The sequence below is a fragment of the Homo sapiens genome, chromosome 3 (genome assembly GCF_000001405.40).
Source record: "Homo sapiens chromosome 3, GRCh38.p14 Primary Assembly".
NCBI classification, from domain to species: domain Eukaryota; kingdom Metazoa; phylum Chordata; class Mammalia; order Primates; family Hominidae; genus Homo; species Homo sapiens.
This window is the reverse complement of record NC_000003.12, coordinates 149,653,467-149,667,841: the sequence shown is the minus strand read 5'-3', so window position 1 is coordinate 149,667,841 and position 14,375 is coordinate 149,653,467. Positions and strand designations below refer to the sequence as shown.

Sequence of the window (14,375 nt, the reverse complement as noted above, 5' to 3'; positions counted from 1 at the left end):
AGGAAATATACAGAATGAACTGTGAAATTTCTCTTGTCTAAAATCATTCACAAAAAATGGGAGATGATGACTCAGTAGAACTACAACGTGCAGCCACTGGGTTAGTGCCCATGTAGTCCTAACATTGTTTGGCTGTTAAGAGCTTCATGTGATACCTCCAAGTCTAGAAGGACTCAACCAGAGTATCAGGACAGATTGAGACTTGGGGCTTCCACGAATTTGGAGCATAGTGGGATGCTGGGTTGCCTAGACATCATTAGTAAGATTTTTTTCATAATTTTTTTTTTTTTTTTTGAGATGGAGTCTTGCTCTGTCGCCCAGGCTGGAATGCAGTGGCACGATCTGAGCTCACTGCAAGCTCCACCTCCTGGGTTCACGCCATTCTCCTGCCTCAGCCTCCCAAGTAGCTGGGACTACAGGTGCCCACCACCACGTCCTGCTAATTTTTTGTATTTTTTAGTAGAGACGGGATTTCACCATGTTAGCCAGGATGATCTCAATCTCCTGACCTCATGATCCACCCCCCCTCAGCCTCCCAAAGTGCTGGGATTACAGGCGTGAGCCACTGCGCCCGGCCCCATTAGTAAGATTTGTTTTTTCCTATAACAAAATGCATCAAGTTCCAACTAAACAATTTACAAAATAATTTTAGGAATACAACTCTTAAAAAGTAGAGACCCAATGTTTCATATTAATTAGAAATAATGATTCACATCACAGAAGGATTCTTTAATACACACAAGCGCTCCAATAATCAGGGTTTGATTGAATTTTCAGTACCTCCAACACATTTAAGTTTTTATTTATTTAATGAGAGGGAGGAGACAACTAAGCTTCGATATACATTTTAGGAGCCTCTGTACATCGTATGGCCATTAGATGACAAAACATTTGTGAAATGATACTGTAAGTCAGTGGAGGAAAAATGCCTTTAAAAACAGCCTCTCTTTCCCTCTCTTTAAAGGAAAAGACAAAATAGTGTATGCTCACAGAGGAGGAAGTAATTAAGAGTCTGATTCTGTTAGGAAACTACAGAAGAAATATAATTTGAAAGCCGGAGAGATACTGGAGGGGTTGAGTCCTGGTGCTCTTGTTATAAATCAATGGCCTTTGGCAAGACATAAACTTTTCTAAACCTTGGTTTTCTTATCTGTAAAATAGTTCTAGTAAGGTGTATCTGCCCATTCTCACAGGGTTACTATGAGATTCGTGTGTGACTGTACATGTGAAGTTGTTTTGTAGTCTGTAAAATATTATATAAATATGATTTATTATTATTGCCATAGTTGAAATACTAACAGCTTTTAATGATCATAACTAGATTGAGATGTCTTCAATCATATGGTCAAATTAGGATGTATTGTGTGGCAGATGCTGTATGAGAATTAATCTACTCTCTTATCTAAGATTATCTAGAAATATATATTTTTAAAGAAAATTTAGCCATTTTTAAGCATGTGTGAATTGAACTGGTGCCCACAGGCACTGGCTTTCTTATACTCAGGTCCTCTCTCCACCTTGTTTTGGTTTGGAGGGCTCTCTTCTCCTTGGCTCCAAACCACAAATTAACTTTTTTGACCAGGCATGAAAAGTGTCCTAACTTGTGTCTGGACAATGCTGAGACAGAGAGATAATAGTAGAGCCCATATATACTTGACTCTTGTCACCAAGAAAAATAAGACAAGGAAGAGCAGTGGCTTGAACAGCTAGTGTAACCAGATCTGTGACTTATTTGGGTAAAGGGAGGAGTTGAGTGAAATTGTCAAACAATAAATGTTTTAATCAGGTGGCAAACTCTTCCAAGCTCAGCTTGAAAGATCACTTCTGCCCTTGAACACAATGGATATTAAAAAAATATGTACCGTATTTGTTGAATGGATGGATAATATTGAGCACCTTGAAATTCCCCCCACCCCAAACACTGCTAATTAGTTCTCTCATCACACCCAAAATAATACTAATAATATGGTTTGTACTTCTGAGAGTGATGATTCAGTGTTATCATGTTACACATATATACAGATATAAGCACACAAAGAGAAATATTTATCTTTTTATTTCTACATAGTTTTTAATATAATTTTAGCATCTTTTTATTCATTTTTCCATGTTTTTGAACAAAGTTATAATGATAGTATTCACAGATCTTTGTTTCGTAATTTTTCTCATTAAAATTATAAAAATTCTTAAAAACATTTTTCAGGTTGTCACATTGTCTTCATAAACACTTTCAAATAACTATCAGAATCTTCATTGCATATGTTAAGCTGTTAGATATACTTAACCATTCTCTTCTTAAATATTTAGGAAATTTCTGAGCCGGGCGCAGTAACTCATGCCTGTAATCCCAGCACTTTGGGAGGCTGAGGCGGGCAGATCATGAGGTCAGGAGATCGAGAACATCCTGGCCAAAATGGTGAAACCCCCATCTCTACCAAAAATACAAAAATTAACTGGGCATGATGGTGGGCTCCTGTAATCCCAGCTACTTGGGAGGCTGAGGCAGGAGAATGGCTTGAACCCGGGAGGCGGAGTTTGCAGTGAGCCAAGATGACGCCACTGCACTCCAGCCTGGTGACAGAGCAAGACTCTGTCTCAAAAAAAAAAAAAAAAAGAAAGAAAGGAAATTTCTAATTTCCCGTTATTATAGATCATGGTGCAATGAGCAACTCTGCAATATGCCCTGATCATTAACTTCTAAACCATACTGTATATTGTTGAGCCTTTTCAAAAGTGTATTTTTATTTTCTAGGAAAATATCTATTACTTAATATTTCCCATTTAAAAATATTTCCTCCAGTCCCTTGCCCCAAAATGATAGCAAAAATACTAAAGGATAAATAACTTACATAAGGTACTGAAGTTAAGATTAAATATCAAAAATTCCTTTTTTCTCTAGCCCAAATGCATTACTAAAGCAACAGATAACATCAGACAAAAGATAGTGCCTTCTGGCCGGGCGCGGTGGTTCACTCCTATAATCCCAGCACTTTGAGAAGCCAAGGTGGGTGGATCACACCTGAGATCAGGAGTTCGAGACCAGCCTGACCAACATAGAGAAACCCCATCTCTACTAAAATACAAAATCAGCCAGGCATGATGGCGCATGCCTGTAATCCCAGCTACTCGGGAGGCTGAGGCAGGAGAATCGTTTGAACCCGGGAGGTGGAGGTTGCGGTGAGCCGAGATGGCGCCATTGCACTACAGCCTGGGCAACAGGAGCGAAACTCCGTCTCAAAAAAAAAAAAAAAAGATAGTGCCTTCCATCATCATTATCATCAAAATTATCTTCCTTATCATCATGCCAGTGATGCATTTATTAAGAACACCAAAGTGAAACACGGCAACAAAAGAGTAAATGCAAAAATGAGTGGCAGCACCAATTATTTTTTATTTAGGTATTTGCATATTTGCTATATGCTGGACACTGTGTTAAACACTTGGGATATGGTAAATTCTGAAAACACAAGTATCACGTTTGATTTGTCAAGGAACTGGTCAACTCTTATCCTCATGTTGAACCTTATTCAATAGTTTTCTGGACTCTTCATTATTCAAACCTTTATCTATTCAAGGTCCTTGTCTGTTTTGCTCCTCTTCAGTTGCTAATGGTGACCCAACCCTGGCTCTGGGAATTTTCTCCATACTGGTTCAGCAAGTCAGGGCAGGTTCTGCCCCAAGGGCTTCTGGGACCACAGTCCTCTAACTTAGCCACCCCACCAAGTTTCTAACCATACACCTTTGCTGAAATCAGTCATTCAGACCAAGTCAGCAACCCGGAGGTAGGGCTGAGAAGCAGCTGAAGCTTTCCTGAGGCAAAAATGGCAGATGAATAGCAGGGGCAAAATCCACTGGGTTAGGCATGTACAGAACACTCCTGCATGGAGAACACTTTGTTAGGCATGGGAGAAACAAAAAGAAAGTGAAGTTCTCTTAGACTTGTTCTCAGAGAGCTTGCAATCTTGTTAAAGAGTTGAGTCCAGAAGTAGCTGAAATCGTAGTGAATGGTGAGAAATTATCTAACAAACTGCACAGTACACTAATGGGTGCTGAAAGAGGAATGGGCAAAATCATCTAAAGGTCACTATGCTCTCAACAAGGAATTGTGGCCTTCTTAGGAGCGGTTTCATAAGAAAATTTTTTTTTAAGATGGAGTCTCGCTCTGTTGCACAGGCTGGAGTGCAATGGCATGATCTCGGCTCACTGCAGCCTCCGCCTCCTGGGTTCAAGCAATTCTCCTGCCTCAGCCTCCCGAGTAGCTGGGATTACAGGCACGCGCCACCACGCATGGCTAATTTTTGTATTTTTAGTAGAAACGGGGTTTCACCATGTTGGCCAGGCTTGTCTCAAACTCCTGACCTCAGGTGATCTGCCTGCCTTGGCCTCCCAAAGTGCTAGGATTACAGACGTGAGCCACTGCGCCTGACCTCATAAAGAAATTTAAGCTGCTTCTAGCCCTGCAGCTATTTACAGTCCAGTTGGGGAGGCAAGAGATTTCTGAGGCGAATTTTACAATACAATATATGCCGGGCCTGGTGGCTCACATCTGTAATCCCAGCACTTTGGGAGGCTGAGGTGGGTGGATCACCTGAGATCAGCCTGGCCAACATGGTGAAACCCCATCTCTACTAAAAATACAAAAATTAGCTGGCGTGATGGCGGGCACCTGTAATCCCAGCTACTTGAGAGGCTAAGACAGGAGAATCGCTTGAACCCGGGAGGCGGATGTTGCAGTGAGCTGAGATTGCGCCATTGCACTCCAGCCTGGGTGACAGAGTAAGACTCTGTCTGAAAAAACAAGACAAAACAATGTAAGGCAGTGTTATGTTTGATTACATGTGGAAAGAGTGAAAAAGACAAGAACAAGGAGAATTTAGGAAGAAGGGAGAGATTACTGAACGCCTGGCAATGGAGTTTGGAGGACAATTTTGAGCAGAATTCAAATAGCAAAGTTCAGGTAGGTGTATTAACGAATTAGGCCAAATATGCTTGGGTCAGAGCCTGGCTGAAGTGGGAGAAAGATACTTTATTACTGGATCATGTAAGAACCAGGGTCAGAAAGCTATGAAGATGGCAGTGTGTTGGGAAACCTTTAGTGCCAGATTGATAGCTTTGACTCATATACTTGTGAACAGTTGTTAAAAAAAACTTCTGAGCTGGGTAATGACATCATAAAAGAAGGAGACCAGAAAACAGAGACTGGAGGCAGAGAAACCAGTTAGGAGACCACTTCAAGCATTTTGAGATAAGGTCCTGTCGTGAGAGTGGGAAGGGAAGCATGGATTTTGGGGGACACTAGAAGAAAGAATCAATAGCATTTGCCGCTGATTGGATGTGAACAGAGGGAAGAGAAAGGGATGACTCAGGAGAAGCTTCAGTAGGAAGTGTGTTGTGGGGAGGATTTAGAAGCAGGCATGGACTTTGTTGGAAAGTGTTTGCAAATGGAAAGATTTACATATCTATCAGCAGGAGTGTGCTCTCAACTGATTATCTTATAAAAGCTGTGGAGTTTCTTTATGAGATAGTCAGACAAAAAGTATCACACGATTTAAAATGGCAATACCAGGGAGCAACTCCTGGCTCACACAGGATGCAGTCTGGAGAATGCACTCTGCTCTAGAGTTACAACCCTGGGCTGAATCTCAGGGTTTTTTGTTTTTTTTTAACATGGTTTCATTGTATATATTTGGACAAAATACTTTCTAACTCATCGATCCAGTTTCCTTATCTTTAGGTCTCCATGAAACAAAACAGCCATATTTGTTGAGTGCTTTATTATGTTAAGCAGGCTTTGTGTTAAGAGCTTTATTTGGCCGGGCGAGGTGGCTCACGCCTGTAATCCCAGCACTTTGGGAGGTGGAGGCGGGTGGATCACAAGGTCAGGAGTTCAAGACCAGCCTGGCCCAAATGGTGAAACCCCGTCTCTACTAAATATACAAAAATTAGCCAGGTGTGGTGGTGGGTGCCTGTAATCCCAGCTACTCAGGAGGCTGAGGCAGGAGAATCGCTTGAACCCGGGAGGTGGAGGTTGTGGTGAGCTGATATTGTGCCACTGCACTCCAGCCTAGGTGACAGAGTAAGACTCCGTCTCAAAAAAAAAAAAAAAAACTTTATTTGTGGCCGGGCATGGTGGCTCAAGCCTATAATCCTAGCACTTTGGGAGGCCAAGGTGGGCGGATCACTTGAGACCAGGAGTTCAAGATCAGCCTGGCCAACATGATGAAATCCTGCCTCTACTAAAAAAATACAAAAATTAGCCAGGCGTGGTGGTGCACGTCTGTAGTCCCAACTACTCGGGAGGCTGAGGCACAAGAATCACTTGAACCTGGGAGGTGAAGGGTGCAGTGAGCTGAGATCAAGCCATTGCACTCTAGCCTGGGCAACAAAGTGAAACCCTGTCTGAGAAAAAAAAAAAGACTTTATTTGCAACTTTTTATTCTTAGAATGCACATTCTACATTTAAAAAACATTTCAATATTTTGTGGCTTAAAGCAATATCCATTTTATTTGCTCACAATTCTGCAATCTGGGCTGGGCTTGGCTGTGCAGCTCTGCTGGTCTTACTGGTGGTCACTGATGTGTTTGCAGTCAGCCGGTGGGGTTGGCTGAGGCTGGGCTCAGCTCAGGTGCTGGGCAGCTGGACTTTTCCCTCTCTCCAAGTATCTCAGGGCCTTTCCTTCTCCATGTGGTTTATCCAACAGGGTAACTGGACTTCTTACTTAGTGGCTCAGGTCTCCTAAAAGTACAAAGTGGAAGCTTCCATACCTTCCTAGGGGATGGGATGGGAAAGGCAGGGAAGTGGCACAACTTCACTGCCACATTTTCCTGGTTAAGGCAAATCACTGGCCCAGTCCAGATTAAGTGGAAGGGGCTACGTAAAGGTATAAATAACATGAGGCTGGGCCATTGAAAGGCAGCAACGCAGCAGAGAGACTACCACAATATTATTTCCAATTTGTAAATGAGTAAACTGTGACTTAGGAATGCTAAGCTACTTGCATAATGTAGCAGATAGAGCCAGCTTCAAATATTGTGTTCTAAATCAAATATCAACAAATAAAATGTGTATGTGTTTTCACCTAGAATCCTGTGGGGTGGGTACTGTTATTGTCCCTAATTTACAAAGGAGGAAACCCAAGAATAGAGAGCTTAAATGTCTTGTCTGAAGTGACTCAGCTGTTTTGTTCCAGAAATTATACACTTATCCACTGTGCTGCCTCTTACGGGCAGTACCTGATACATACAAGACATCTGTAAATGTTATTTAATCTGAAGCTGTTGTTGGAATGGCTGGGACAACAGCAAATCTTTTGAATTATTCACTATTACATCTTATATGCTATTTGGGAACTGGGAGTTTTTCAGTTATCCTGTGTTAAGGGCAATTTCCGTTTCATACATCTACTTTATCTGTTGCACTATCTATTTCTTGAAGCTTGGAAAGAAACGAAGACTGCATCCTTGCCCATCCAGTTCCAACCCAGATTCTCACTGCCCATCTAATTCCAACCCTGATTCTCACCTTTCTTCGGGAGTGAGGACTTTCCTAGAGTAGGGCTGGCCTCAAGTTTTCATCTTTTAATCATCAAGTCAGCCTTGTGACTTCTGAATTAGTATCATTAGGTTCCAGTCACTTCCTCTTGTTCGATAGCTTATTTCCCCTGTTGTTGCAACTGTGATGGCTTCTGAGAGTAGCTTGCAAAGATTCTACTTTCCAAGGAGTGACCTGTGCTAGTTTCCCCTTTCCTTTTGCCAGTCCTATGGGCAGAGGACTTGCTGCACAGAATCCCAGCTACTCGGGAGGCTGAGGCAGGATAATTGCTTGAACCAGGGAGGCAGAGGTTGCAGTGAGCCGCGATCATGCCACTGCACTCCATCCTGGGCAATAGAGTGAGACTCCATCTCAAAAAAAAAAAAAAAAGGATGATACGTGTATGCCTGCCTTAGTCTAAGATGGCCCTAATTTCTTCCAGTCTATGAGGAGTCTGGAATTGGAGCCACCTCCAAGTACAGATAACAGGGGAAGTGGCTCACTTTGGTGGTTCTGTTTTGGATATGGATGCAGCCATTCAGGGAGTGGCCCCAAAATTCTACCTTTTCCGAGGCAAAACTATGAGTGGCCTTGTCTTTTCCTTAAACTTTTCTCCTCCAAGGCAGCTCCAGATTTTAACTTCGACTTTATTTTACCCTGTAAAAATATTAAGGCAGGCTGGGCGCGGTGGCTCATGCCTGTAATCCCAGCACTTTGGGAGCCTGAGGCGGGCGGATCACCTGAAGTCAGGATTTGAGACCAGCCTGGCCAACATGGTGAAACCCCATTTTTGCTTTTAAAAAATACAAAAATTAGCTGGGCGTGGTGGCAGGCGTCTTAATCCTAGCTACTTGGGAGGCAGAGGCAGGAGAATCGTTTGAACCCGGGAGGCGGAGGTTGCAGTGAGCTGAGATGGAGCTATTGCACTCAAGCCTGGGGGACAAGAGGGAGACGTCACTCAAAAAAAAAAAAAAAAAAATTAAGGCACAATACGTGAACTTGAAGAACATACAGTTCTCTTTTATTTAACAAACACTTACGTAACCAGCCCGGTGCTGTGCGAAGTGCTTTACATTGTCTCGTTTGATTTACTTAATAAACTCCTATTTGAATCAAATGGGGTGGAGTAGGGGCTTCCTGGAATTTGGCTTACCTCGCCATCTCCCCCCACCCTTTCCCCTCAGTGGAGAGGCAACCAGAGAGAAAAGAAATTGAGCTGCTCTGAAGGGCAAGGCCTCCTCCTACTTCCCGCAGCTGTTTCGCCAGACTTGACCTTCTTCCCTTAGCTAGAGGCAGGGGGTCTCCATCCCTCGCCCAGATCTAGTTGGTGGGAAGGTGGGTGGCTTTTTTCGGGTCACTGGCGCACCCTCTCTACTTCCAGCCACCTGCTCGGGTTCCATCCCGGCTCCAGGCTCCCCGGAGGGCGGCAGGGACATTCCAATCCTCCCACAACCCTCACGGATGTTGCGGGGGAGGGGGGTGCAATTGCTCTTCTCTTCCAACACCCAGCTTTTTCTTCTCAATCTCTAGTGGCCTGAGTCACCCCCGTAGAGGAAATTAAGGATTGATGAATGGTTTGAAAGTTGTTTGTTTACAACCCACCCGTTGGCGAAGCCGCATCTCCAGTGACAGAGGCACTTTCTGGGCACCGTCTGTGCTCTAGCAGACAATTGAGAGCCAGGCAGCCAAGATGCCTCCTCGCCAGACCAAATATGGTCACAAGAGCTAAGCAGCCTCTCGTGGAAAAGCTGGCCTTGTTGGTGTCTCCCCGCGCCGGGGCGCACCCGGGCCGGCCTTCGGGCAGAATCGCGGGTCAGTGCGGCGCTCCGGGTGCTGCAGGCCTCGGCGCCTGGCTGCAGGGGAGGGCGCGGTGTCCAGGACCGGCCCTTCCTAGGCCTGAGCCCCTCATCCGCGTGCCCTCCGCCACCCCCGGCCTTGGTTTCGGTCCACAACCCCTTGATGAAACAGGCTCAGGCCACTTTCCCTTTGATCCCGCCCCAAGTCCGTGGTAAACTCAAAGGAATGCAGATGCAGGTCTGAGCGGGAGAGGTCCGCGCGGCCGGGAGGAGTGGGTGGGGGGCACCCGTCTCCTCTTACCCAGTAAAGTACCCATCACGCCCAGGGTTTTCTGGAGCCGAGGTGGGAGGAGGAGGAGGAGGAAGAGGAGGGGCGAGCGGGGGCTGGCCGGCTAGGGACTAGGAGGTCATACATAATTCAACAGCTCAACTTTCGGGCCCGCCTCTTTCCTGGGGGTGGGAGTTTGCTCCAAACTTTGTTTATGGGACAGTCCGGGAGCTGCTGCGGCCGCGCTGTCTGCTTCTCCTGCGCCTCCTTTTCGCCCAGCACTAGCGCCTTAGGCCAGCTCGGGGGATGTGAGAGCCGAAGCCCTTAGACTGCCAGGCACAGAGTCGGGTCGGGATTTGTCAGCCAAGCCTCGGCTCCAGCTCCGCAATCTCGGGACTCACCCGAGCGACCCAGGCCCGACGGCAAGTTCGGGCGGGACGGCGGCCGCCGCGCGCTCAGGCTCAGCTTCGCTGCCCGCCCAGGTAGTGCCCGCTGGAGCTCGCGCGCTCATCCGGCACCACTCCAGGGCTCCAGGCTCCTCGGGCTTCCGGAGTCGAGACGTGGTGGAGTTGGCTCGGGCTGAACTTCTTTCGGGGGGCTGCCTGTCCTGGAATCGTGCGACCTTTCCTTTGCCATCCTGCGGTTCAGCAAGCCCCGAGTGCAGTTATTCCCTCCACCCCTCGCCCTATCTTCTCCTCCTCCAGGCAACTTCTTTGCTTCAAGAAAGTTGCATAATTCTCGAGGCCAGGAGGGACCCCTCCCCCATCCTGCTGGTCTTACCGCTGAGTGTCTGGGATCTCCAGGCGGGCAATTATCTGTCTCCTCGTTTCCTTTTCCCTCTATTCTTTCTCCCACCATCTCGCCCTCTCACCCTGTAACCCTCTTACCCACTTCCTCCGACTTTAAATAAAAGGCTGATCTGACCTTCTTTTTGCAGAAGATGAATCCGGCCTCGGCGCCCCCTCCGCTCCCGCCGCCTGGGCAGCAAGTGATCCACGTCACGCAGGACCTAGACACAGACCTCGAAGCCCTCTTCAACTCTGTCATGAATCCGAAGCCTAGCTCGTGGCGGAAGAAGATCCTGCCGGAGTCTTTCTTTAAGGAGCCTGATTCGGGCTCGCACTCGCGCCAGTCCAGCACCGACTCGTCGGGCGGCCACCCGGGGCCTCGACTGGCTGGGGGTGCCCAGCATGTCCGCTCGCACTCGTCGCCCGCGTCCCTGCAGCTGGGCACCGGCGCGGGTGCTGCGGGTAGCCCCGCGCAGCAGCACGCGCACCTCCGCCAGCAGTCCTACGACGTGACCGACGAGCTGCCACTGCCCCCGGGCTGGGAGATGACCTTCACGGCCACTGGCCAGAGGTACTTCCTCAAGTAAGTCAGCCTGGAGCCGAAGAAGGCACCAAGTCACAGTGCCCAACGCGCGCGTGTGTTCGTGTGTGTGTGTGTGTGTGTGTGAGAGAGAGAGAGAGAGAGAGAGAGAGAAAGAGAGAGATGGTGCGTGTCCTTCCACGGTTATTTCACAGATATGGAGAGCTGGAAGCAGGGAGTGAGTCTCTGAGTGTTGGAATTGTAAGGGATCAGAAGCAGGGATCAGAAGCAGTGGTGAAGTTCATCCACCATAAAACACACAGGTGACTTTGCCTTGAATCTGCAGGACTGAAGCCAACTCTTGGGCACAGACCCTTAGTCCCTTCCTTGGCCACTCTAAGTCAGATAGTCCAGAGCCAGGCCCTTTGGGATGTGACACCGAGATAAATCAGAGAAAAGCTGTGAAGCTTGGGGAACAGAGGGACTTTTGGTGAAGTAGGTGGTCTGCAGTTTCTATCTTCTTGGGAAAAGCAAGCTGGAAAAGTGAACAGTGGTTGGTAGGCCATAGTGCTCCCAGCTGGGTGACATAATGACCACACAGCACAGTGATGTTATTAGCAACTGTGTGGTGGAGTAGTTGTGGGCTGGACAAATCAATCGTGTGGAAATTGTTAGGAGTTTTATTACATTAAACTTGTTAACCTAAAATACCATCAAATCACAAGCCTGCTTTGTCACTCTTCTTCCTTTCACATTGTTCCAGCTTTTTGATGTCATGAATTTTACATTAGTTGAAATTTTCAAATTACACCCCACAGGAAAATATATTCTCAAACACTAGAGGAGGTTGTTTCAATTGTGGTACCCTAAGATAACTACATTCCTCAGGAGAAACCAGGCTGGAACTTGAAATGTTCCATTGAGGTCATAGGGTCAGGCTATCAAAGATGGAGGTTGTGCCAGCCTAACCACTTGTTTCAGGATTGCCTGCACTGCCAGTGAGGGAAACTCCTCTCCTAAGAACTTGACTTAGACTTCATTTTAAAGCCCATATTTCTTTAGTAGAGTAGCCTTAGTGCAAAAGTGAAGACACTATGTACAATTTTAAAAGTTTAATCAAGCCTTTCTTTGGCACTAATATTTGATGCTCTGATTGCTATGAGAGAGCCCTAAGAATGAATACACAGTGATGGATGAAGTTTACTATAGTGAGCCCATTGATTCATACCAGTGACCAATTCTTATTACTTCCCCATCTCAAGGCTGTTGATATCTTGTCCAAGGAGTTCTTTTGTTGTTTCTGAGATTGGTGTAATGCTGAGATTCTGAAACAGACTTGATGGTCATTTATGCCACAGCTGGTCTTCTCTGGGTTATTGAGTGATAGTTTGGACATGTGCTCAGTCCTTTGACTTCTAAGTAGCTGGTGGAGTCAAGAATATGATGTAATAACATGACTTTTGTTGTTGTTGTTTGTTGTTTGTTTTTGTTTTTGAGACAAAGTCTCACTCTGTCGCCCACGCTGGAGTGCAGTGGCACAATCTCGGCTCACTGCAACCTCCGCCCCCTGGGTTCAAGCAATTCTTCTGCCTCAGCCTCCTGAGTAGCTGGGATTACAGGCACCCACCACCACGCCTGGCTAATTTTTGTATTTTTAGTAGAGACGAGGTTTCACCATGTTGGCCAGGCTGGTCTTGAACTCCTGACCTCAAGTGATCTGCCTGCCTCGGCCTCCTAAAGTGCTGGGATTACAGGCTTGAGCCACCATGCCCAGCCCTACATGATTTCTTTCTTTCTTTCTTTCTTTCTTTTTTAGATGGAGTCTCGCTCTGTCGCCCAGGCTGGAGTGCAGTGGCGCGATCTAGGCTCACTGCAAGCTCCGCCTACCGGGTTCACGCCATTCTCCTGCCTCAGCCTCCCGAGTAGCTGGGACTACAGGCACCCGCCACCAAGCCCGGCTACTTTTTTGTATTTTTTTTAGTAGAGACGGGGTTTCAACATGTTAGCCAGGATGGTCTCTATCTCCTGACCTCGTGATCTGCCCGCCTCGGCCTCCCAAAGTGCTGGAATTACAGGTGTGAGCCACCACGCCTGGCCCCAGCCCTACATGATTTCTAAACTGTGTTTATGAATATATACACACATACGTATGGTATATGATCAGTATAACTGTGATTATTAAAAATATGAAATAGGAGCTAGGCTTGCCTAATATCTGAGGAAAACTAGACGAAAAAGACCCTGAAACAAAAGCAAAACAAAAAAATTCCTTTATACATTGTGTTTTGAATGATTGGAGTAGCTCAGAACTGCCTGTGAACAAGGGCAAAAGTGGAAGTTAGCCTTGGATTTAGAGAAAGTTGCTGTGATCTCTCTGCCCATCCCCCCAACCACAACCACTCTCCAATCCAAAGCAGAGTGCATCTTCATTTCACTTTGGGTAGTCAATGAAAATGACAGCTGAAAAAAATGTGTAAGTAGTAGGCTGGCCTGCTCTGATGCTATCCCTGGAAGTATTTTGGCCAAGTGACTAAGAGAGGTTAAGAATTTGTCAGTGACTATTGTCTTTAAGGATAAGCAATCTGCCAAGAGTTCTCTGAATTTCTTGTAGAGTTTTGTTTAAAGTTGGAATTAGGTAAATGTCATACACTTTGTTACACAGCCTCAAAAGGCAGTGTATTTCAGTGGATTAAGTAGAAGCTTGAAAAATGATGGTGACTCACTTGGAGTTACTTTTCATTATGTCTGTTTATTACTTTACTTGCCATCTATGAAATAGGGCTGAGGCTAGCAGATACATTTTTTTTTTTAATTTTTTTATTTTTGGCTGGGGTAGAGATGGGGTTTCACTATGTTGCCTAGGCTAGTCTCAAACTCCTGTACTCAAGTGATTCTCCTGCCTTGGCCTCCCAAAGTGCTTGGATTACAGGCATGAGCTACCATGCCCAGCCAGAAGAAGAATCTTTTTCTTGACTCTGTTGGGAGTTGAGAGCTTTATAAGTTGGAAATCAAAGGATTTTAGAATGACAAGGGTCAATTTTGTTTAGTTTAGTTTTTGACTAGAAAATTGAGGCCACGGAAGGGTGATGATAGGAATTTGGGAAAGTCATGTGGTTATTTAATGGTGGACCCTGGACTGGACCTCTAATCTGTTGCTGTCTACTTAGGCAACAGTTTTCCTTTTTCCCCACCGACACCTTTCCCCCATGTCACTTCCTTAGCTAAACAATGAACTTAATGGGAAACAGAGCCTGGACATCTAAGAAGCTTTAAAAAAGCCTTTTGTCATTTTCTCAGGTAAGATTATTCCTAGGTATATGATGTAATCACTTTCTGCAACCTCCTGAAGGCACCTTTCCTGAGCATTCACAGCTTTCCTGTGGTGTTCAGGTGTCCTGTGGTATTCAGATATTCCTTTAGAGTAACAATGACTAGGGCATGGTGGTGCCCACCTGCAGCCACTACCACCCCC

The 14,375-nt window shown here is 45.9% G+C and overlaps 1 protein-coding gene and 1 long non-coding RNA gene across 10 annotated transcripts in view, besides 6 other annotated features; one reads left to right on the top strand and one right to left on the bottom strand.

The window, feature by feature from the left end:
* Nucleotides 1-14,375, top strand: part of WWTR1 (WW domain containing transcription regulator 1) — a 207,554-nt gene that overhangs the window by 56,947 nt on the left and 136,232 nt on the right. For 7 of the 9 annotated variants that reach the window (NM_001348362.2, XM_047447933.1, XM_047447931.1 and 4 more), the window contains one exon: nucleotides 10,533-10,966. In NM_001348362.2, the coding sequence (NP_001335291.1) occupies nucleotides 10,536-10,966 (431 nt within the window). In that variant the 5' untranslated portion in view covers nucleotides 10,533-10,535. Of the gene's footprint in view, nucleotides 1-9,816; nucleotides 10,078-10,532; nucleotides 10,967-14,375 lie in introns of those variants that run through there. The other 2 variants (NM_001168280.3, NM_015472.6) reach the window with 2 other exon arrangements.
* WWTR1-AS1 (WWTR1 antisense RNA 1) lies at nucleotides 6,478-9,632 on the bottom strand. Its single transcript, NR_040250.1, has 3 exons — nucleotides 9,134-9,632; nucleotides 7,523-8,464; nucleotides 6,478-6,736 (listed from the first exon to the last, which is right to left on the bottom strand). It is a non-coding gene; the product is annotated as a WWTR1 antisense RNA 1 (long non-coding RNA).
* Nucleotides 8,964-9,173: an enhancer, noted in NCBI's record as "active region_20682". NCBI's record gives its function as "activates an Ori minimal core promoter by ATAC-STARR-seq in GM12878 lymphoblastoid cells {active_cell/tissue: GM12878}" and the evidence as "EXISTENCE:reporter gene assay evidence [ECO:0000049][PMID:35858748]".
* Nucleotides 9,344-9,503: a silencer, noted in NCBI's record as "silent region_14806". NCBI's record gives its function as "represses an Ori minimal core promoter by ATAC-STARR-seq in GM12878 lymphoblastoid cells {active_cell/tissue: GM12878}" and the evidence as "EXISTENCE:reporter gene assay evidence [ECO:0000049][PMID:35858748]".
* Nucleotides 9,344-9,990: a biological region, named in NCBI's record as "NANOG-H3K27ac-H3K4me1 hESC enhancer GRCh37_chr3:149375639-149376218".
* Nucleotides 9,411-9,990: an enhancer, noted in NCBI's record as "NANOG-H3K27ac-H3K4me1 hESC enhancer chr3:149375639-149376218 (GRCh37/hg19 assembly coordinates)". NCBI's record gives its function as "activates a minimal SCP1, AML or CMV promoter by ChIP-STARR-seq in naive H9 embryonic stem cells {active_cell/tissue: H9 hESC(naive)}" and the evidence as "EXISTENCE:reporter gene assay evidence [ECO:0000049][PMID:30033119]".
* Nucleotides 9,734-9,803: an enhancer, noted in NCBI's record as "active region_20681". NCBI's record gives its function as "activates an Ori minimal core promoter by ATAC-STARR-seq in GM12878 lymphoblastoid cells {active_cell/tissue: GM12878}" and the evidence as "EXISTENCE:reporter gene assay evidence [ECO:0000049][PMID:35858748]".
* Nucleotides 13,306-13,600: a silencer, noted in NCBI's record as "tiled region #14320; HepG2 Repressive non-DNase unmatched - State 2:TssF". NCBI's record gives its function as "represses a minimal TATA promoter and a strong SV40 promoter by Sharpr-MPRA in HepG2 cells {active_cell/tissue: HepG2}" and the evidence as "EXISTENCE:reporter gene assay evidence [ECO:0000049][PMID:27701403]".